Source organism: Homo sapiens, chromosome 11 (assembly GCF_000001405.40).
Source record: "Homo sapiens chromosome 11, GRCh38.p14 Primary Assembly".
Classification (NCBI taxonomy): Eukaryota; Metazoa; Chordata; class Mammalia; order Primates; family Hominidae; genus Homo; species Homo sapiens.
The window spans coordinates 23,961,000-23,968,322 of record NC_000011.10 but is presented as its reverse complement, the minus strand read 5'-3'; the positions used below and the strand labels follow the sequence as shown (position 1 = coordinate 23,968,322).

Sequence of the window (7,323 nt, the reverse complement as noted above, 5' to 3'; positions counted from 1 at the left end):
GACCGAGGTGAGGGAGGCTAAGTTGCGGCCCTGAGATGTGGGAAAGGAGCCACGGGCACAGTGTGGCTATTAAAATAATGTCCCAATGTCATAGCAGACGTTCTGAAAGAGGAGAGGAAGTTGAAAAGAGAAAGGCGTGGCAGACACTCTGGGGAGAGATAGGAGACAAGAATATATATAAGTTTGATAAATCCATGTGATGTTAGAATATCATTTTATATGTGGGAAGCATGAAAATGTACTATTGTTCTTCTAATGCAAATTCTAAAAGGCACAGCTCAGGGAAATTTTTATGAGATGAGAATTAGGGGTTTTAAAAAAGGTTGAGAACACTTCTCCAGAGAATGTTGATGCTTAATCAATTAATTAATGCAGAAATAAGTAATTTCATGAAAATCTGCTATGCTTGATTACATTTTTCTTCTCTTAATTTTTCAATATATTAGGAAAGTTATAATGCATCATTTAAAATAAAACAGCATTGCTCCGCACAATCTCTGTGACAAGTTCAGTGCAAAATGTTTTCATGTTAGAGAAAAGCATTAAAGTGGAAAAAAGGCACAAGTGCATCTTTGAAATTATTTGTGTTAATCCTGTGCACCATGCAGCTTGCACTTCACATACTAAATGTTGATTATATGAATGTAGTCAGTTAAAGGAATAAGGAAAGAAACTGTGTATACATGTTTAAAATACATATCTAAGGCAGGTTTACTGAAGTATAAATTATATAGGTGACAGTTAGCTCTTCTAGGAGCACAGTGCTATGAATCTGGTAAAATATGTGCAGTTATGTAAACACTATGACTGAAAAGTCATAGCATATTTCCACCATCCCCTAAGGAGTTCCCTCATGCCCCTTCCTGATGAACCTACTCCTTTCCCCTGTACTCCTAGAAGCTGCTGATCTGTTTTTTGTTTTTTGTTTTTTTGTTTTTTTTGTTTTTTTTGTTTTTTTTTTTTTTGAGACGGAGTCTCGCTCTGTCGCCCAGGCTGGAGTGCAGTGGCGGGATCTCGGCTCACTGCAAGCTCCGCCTCCCGGGTTCACGCCATTCTCCTGCCTCAGCCTCCCAAGTAGCTGGGACTACAGGCGCCCGCCACTACGCCCGGCTAATTTTTTGTATTTTTAGTAGAGACGGGGTTTCACCGTTTTAGCCGGGATGGTCTCGATCTCCTGACCTCGTGATCCGCCCGCCTCGGCCTCCCAAAGTGCTGGGATTACAGGCGTGAGCCACCGCGCCCGGCCGCTGATCTGTTTTATGCTCCAATGCTTCAACCTTTTCTAGAATGTCCTATAAATAAAATCATATAGCATACAGCTTTTGAGTCTTATTTCTTTTACTTAATGCTTTTTTCTATGAAACATGTCATTGTGTAACAGTTTATTTTTATTGTTGAGTAGTATTCTAAAGTTTAGTAAAGCTTTGCAACTTGTTAAAAAATTGACATGCAATAAACTTCATATACTTAAAAATACAATTAGGTAAGTTTGACATAAATATCTACCCATGAAAAATATCACACAATCTAGATTGTGGACATGCATATCATCCTGAAAAATTTCTCTATGCCCCTTTGTAATCCTCTTTCTTTTCCAATCCCATCTTCAAGCAACAACTATCTCCTTTCACGACAGAGAAGCCTGTATTTCAGGAATTTTGTATACATGGAATTAAATAGCATATGGTCTTTTTGACTGGCATCTTTCACTAAACATGATTATTTTTAGATTCATTCATCTTGGTACATATCAAGCTTATTCATTTTATTACACCGTATAATTTCTAGTATTCCATTTTGTGTGTGTATCATGATTTGTGTATCCATTTACCTGTTGATAAGCAGGGTATTTTCAATTTTTGGTTAATACAAATAAAGATGCTGTGAACATTTATGTACACGCTTATATAGAGACATTTTCTTTCACGTCTTAAATACTTAAATGTAGATTGACTGGATCATATGGTAGGAAAACATTTAACTTTTAAGAAACTGTCAAACTGTTTTCCAAAGTGGTAGTATGATTTTACATATCATCCATTAGTGTATGAGAGTTCTAGTTGCTCCATATTCTTGACAAAACAAGATAGAGTAAGACTTTAAAATTTTACTCATTCTAGTAAGTGTGTAGAAACATCGAGTTGTGGTTTTAATTTGCAATACTGAGATGATTAACAGTATTAATCATCTTTTTAATGTGCTTGTTATCTGTATAACTTCTTTTATTAAGTGTCTATCAAAATCTTTTGCTTATTTTAAAATTGAACATTTTTTGTTGCTTTTGATCATGATGTATTATCCTATTTATATTTTCATCTAAAATGATTTTCTTTCTACTTGAGAAAAAACATCCTTTAACATTTCTTATTATGTGGATAGGCTTTTGGTAAATTCTTTCATTTTTGTATGTCAAAAATATTTATAATTCTAATGTATCGACACAATTGCTCAATAGCTACACATTTTATTTCAGTTTTTTTTCTAGTGCTTCAAATATACATTTTAATGGACAACCATCTACTTTCAGGTAATGTTATGACACATATAAATGCAAGGAATTTTCAATACTATACATCAAATGCAACCACCTATTTTCTATTTTATTATATGCTTTACTTTCCCATATGTTATAAACCTCACATTTCCTTGTCAATAGTTTTACTTTCGACTATCAACTATCTTTAAGATTAATTAAAATAGTGAAAATATATATTGTATATTTGCATTTAATTTCACTGTTCTTGGAACACTTCATTTCTTTATGTAAATTTTAATCTCTGGTGTCATAAACCTTCTGCCTGAAAACTTTTCTTTACCATTTCTTGTAGCACAGGCATGCTACTAATCAATGTTTTTTGCTTTTGTTTTTCTGAAAAAGTCTTCATTTCACTTTTATTTTTAAAATGTGTTTTCTATGGATGTAGAATTCTGAGTTGGTAGTATTTTTCTTTCTGTACTTTAAGGCCGTTATTCCACTGCAAACTGGTTAGTTTATAATGAGAAATCTGCTGTAATATATAACTTTCCTTCATTTAGGTAATTTGTCTTTTTTCTTTGGCAGCCCTCAAGATTCTATTTTACCTTTCATTTTCAACTATTTAACTATGACATATATAGCTAGTTGTGTGTGTGTGTTTGTGTGCGTGTGTGTGTTTGTGTGTGTGTGTATGTATGTGCATGCATGCATGTGCGGTGGTCATTGTAGTGATAGTAGTAGTGGTGGTAGTCTCATTTGGATTAGCTGTAGAGTTGAAATAGCTGAAAAAAGAATGCTCACATTTAGGTTGTTTCTATCTTGAATATATATGATTAATGCTGTGATAAACATCCTCGTAAAGATTTTTCCGTAACCAAATAGATATATTTCTATTGAGCATATATCTAAGAGTAAAATTTCTGGGGTATATGTTTGTGTATCTTCAGTAATAATAGATAAAGCTAAGCAGTTTTCAAAAAAAGAGAAAACACTGAAATACAAAAAGAAAAACAGAAAGCAAAAACAAAACAAAACATCAGAACAAAGCATTAAAGAAGCCGTGATACAGTACCAAATTGGTATTTAGTATTTATGTCACTTGGGATTCTTTGAATTTTTGAAACTCTGGTTTGATTATCTTTTATAATTTTTGGAAGATTTTTATTCACTATCTCTTAAAATATTTCTTCTGTCCTATTCTCACTCTTCTCTTTCTGGCACCCCAATTAAATGTACATTAGATAATTTTATATTGTCCCACAGTTATTAAGTGGTTTATTCTAGTGTTTGCTTTGCACTTGTTTTCCACTTTTCTCCTTGTATTTCAGTAGAGTAATTTCAATTTTCTTAACAATTATTTTCTGAACTGTTTCAGCTCTACTGCTGATCCCACTTAATTAATTCTTTATCTTTTAAATCACATTTCCTATTTCTTGTAAATTCCTTAAACTCACTCTGATAATTTTCTTCTGTTAAAAATTATTTCTTCTTTTTCCAAAGAACATATTTTGTACTAGAAAACTTTATATATTGAACATAGTTATTTTAAAGAGCCCATCTGATGATTCCAACATTTGGGGTGTCTCTCAGCCAAGTTCTGACTACTGTTTGGTTTTGGACAATGTTGTTTGGTGCTCGAATCAAATGACTTGAGTGTGACCTGACATATAATAAACTATAATTTTTTTCTTTGTCCTTAGTCTCTCCTACCTGGATGATAATTTTGAAAAGGACCAATAGTAAAATTAGAAATGAACTGACAAATTTCCAAATATGCCATCTTTCCCTTTTGATGCTTGGGATCATTATAAGGCAAAATGGCTTATAATGTCTAGCTATCTACATAATTTTTGTTGCATTATTCTCATGATGGTGGAATTATTATGTCTTTGTTAAAGGGATATTCCTATAGAACTTAAATAATTTATAGCATGCTCTCTGAAAATAACACTACCACTCGTTAGGAAAACTACATATACCATGTCCTACCAGACTTATAAATTCATATTTTTTCACCTTGTCATAATGCTCCAATATATTTATTAAAGTCCAGATAGTTCCAGTTATAAAGAGAAGAGATGACGTCTTGATCTTACAAGGAAAAGGCTGAGAGAGACCAATAGAACCACTCCTAATATTTGCAATTCCAAGGGTAAGTATACAGCTACCCATACCATGTTTGTAAACGTTTAAAAGTTTATAAATCAAGCTATGTCTTTGTTGTACCTCAATTCCTTTTCATAGCCTTGGAGTTGTTTCCTGTAAATCACCTTCAGGAGCAAATGCAATTGTGAGGTAAACCCTACGAACTGCCAATTTGAGTGGCAGCTCAGACCTGCTGTAGTGTGACTGGCTGGATCCCTTAATCAGCCCTAAAACTCCTAAGAAGTGGTGGCACCTACCCAAGTCTAGTAAATGAAATGTTCTCTAACTTGATCAAGTTTCTTAGAGTGATATGGCAAGCAGGTTTTTCACTATCATACCTTATTTTTCTAGTTCGGCAATTCCAGGTAGTTCTTATCATATCCCAAAAGTACAAAAGAGAAAATTACATGGCAGAACAAACGTGAAAGGTTTTAATGACACAGGCCTAGAAGTGGCAAACATCACTTTTGCTTACCTTACACTGGTTCATTTTTAGCCATATAGCTACAATTAACTTAAGGATAAAAATTGTTGTTTTGCTATGTTCTGGGAAAATTATAAAATAGGATTTGGTCAAAACATATTAATTTCTACCACATCATGTCTTTCTGATCACCAAATACTGACTTTTCCCCTCTTACCATATGAACAATTGTATTCATCCTTTTAGCAACATGATAGCATAAATAACCGCCTCTAGCTCAAAGTCTAAGATGTGTGTCTGATGCAGTCTTCCCCTGTAGGTCTATTTGTGCTTGCTAATTCTTTTGCAAATCATGAAAGAAAAGACAATGAGTTAACCTTCTGTACACACACCCACACTGCACACACATATGCAGATGTGGAGCTGGGATGATAGTTTCACCATGGGATAATAGCAACCATTTCTCCCATACAAGGATAGAGAGAGAGAGAGAGAGAGAGAGAGAGAGAGAGAAAATAGGAAACATCCAGGCATAGATTATAAAGCCTTTCATTGGGCACATAGAACTTTAGACCCTGATTATGTTGTGATATCTCTGGGGTATTGATTTTCTTCCCGGAAGCTTTTATGGCCTGTGGCATTTACCTGAGTTCTTGTCCTGCGTCCAGGAGGAATGAGGTACCTAGACGTAGACGAGCGAACGGTGAAGAACACAAAGAGGAGATTTATTTAGTGTTAGAACAGCCCAGAGGAGACCACAATGGGTAGATCCCCTCTGTTGGCAGGCAGTCCTCCTGTGGAGTGTTCAACTCTCAGCAGAGAGGTGGCCCTGAAGAGGGTAGCTCCTCTCTGCAGGTGGTTCAGACATCTCTGCAGGTCTCGGAAGCTCTCAGCAGAGAGGGTAGCTCCTCTCTGCAGCTGGTGGTCCCGTTGTCTCTCCATCCTCTCAGTCCTCTCTCCTGCTCTGGCTGAAGCCAGGGCTTTTATGGACCTCAGAGGGGAGAAAATGTGTGCTGATTGGTCCATGGGAAGAGGCACCACGAGTCCCCACTGTGGTGCACGGGACTGGCAGCCCGGCCCCCAGCCTTCAGGCCAAGGACGCAAGCTGCGGAGATGCCCATGTCCTGCATCTGGGAGGGGCAGCCTTAGCTGCACCGGGGATCTCCCACCCCGCCAACTAGGAAGGGGTGGAGCTCCTGCTTGTTTCCGGCTCCTGCTCGCTCTGTGGAGCAGGAGGCCGAGTTCTACAGCCCAGGTGGGGTGGTTGCAGCTGAACCTAGGAAGACAAATCCTACCTGATCCTGGCGCTTCCAAGAGCACAGGGAGGCTCCCATCCACAGATGCAATTTGGGTGGCTGTAGCCTCACCCAGGAGGGCGGTGCTCCTGCCTGCTGCACAGAGCAAGAGGCCCGGGTCTGCAGCCCTGGTTTGGGCGGCTGCAGCGGCAACAGGGAAGCTCTCGTCCCAATTCAGAAGGGGTGGGACTCCCACCAGCTCCATGGAGTGTGCAGCCCCTGCTATGCCTCCCTGCTGCAGCCTGTGTGATGGCGGCAGCGGCTGCCATCAATTATGCTGAGTCGGGAATTTCCTTGTCCATTCTTCATTCTGGCTCTTGAATCTCCCATCTGTGTAATAGATTACCAAGCTCTGCTTTTATCGCTCTTACTGATGTTCCATCTCACCTATTTCAGAGTCAGTGTTGGAGAACACTACACAAGTGAGTGAATAATTTCATTAAGGGTCACTGAGATAGCATGAAACTTCAATTAGTTCACATTATGAGATGAGGAGGATTAGTTGGAAGACTGAGTTGAAAGGCAGGAATTATATTTAAAACTCAGCCTAAGTTTTGTTCCCATCATACTCTCTGAAACAACAGATTACTTGAGGTTTCACTAGAAAAAAAGGCTTTGGAAAAGAGAAGTGAATGAAATTGTTGAGTAGTTTTATGACACGAAGCTTTTACTTTTATATTCAAAGGCAAGCTTTGCCATTCAAACTATTTCTTCTGAAGGCACGTGGTATCATCACAAAAAGCTTTCACATGAAATCTACCTGCAGCCCACATTGAAAAAACAGAAATATTTAACATTCTAAATTTCACCATTAGACCAAAGACAAGGGTCTTTGGGATGCTATACATCTTATAGCTTCATTCCAATACTAAGAACCGGTTCTTGTCAGTTACTAGGTTTAATTTTAGAAATTGATGAGTAAGCTTTTGGATATAACAAATTCAAAGGGATATAGAGGATAATCAATTCAAAACTCCTCATTC

General features: G+C 37.3%; 2 annotated features.

Annotated features, from left to right (window-relative positions):
• Nucleotides 5,743-6,398: an enhancer, noted in NCBI's record as "H3K4me1 hESC enhancer chr11:23983471-23984126 (GRCh37/hg19 assembly coordinates)". NCBI's record gives its function as "activates a minimal SCP1, AML or CMV promoter by ChIP-STARR-seq in naive H9 embryonic stem cells {active_cell/tissue: H9 hESC(naive)}" and the evidence as "EXISTENCE:reporter gene assay evidence [ECO:0000049][PMID:30033119]".
• Nucleotides 6,399-7,054: an enhancer, noted in NCBI's record as "H3K4me1 hESC enhancer chr11:23982815-23983470 (GRCh37/hg19 assembly coordinates)". NCBI's record gives its function as "activates a minimal SCP1, AML or CMV promoter by ChIP-STARR-seq in naive H9 embryonic stem cells {active_cell/tissue: H9 hESC(naive)}" and the evidence as "EXISTENCE:reporter gene assay evidence [ECO:0000049][PMID:30033119]".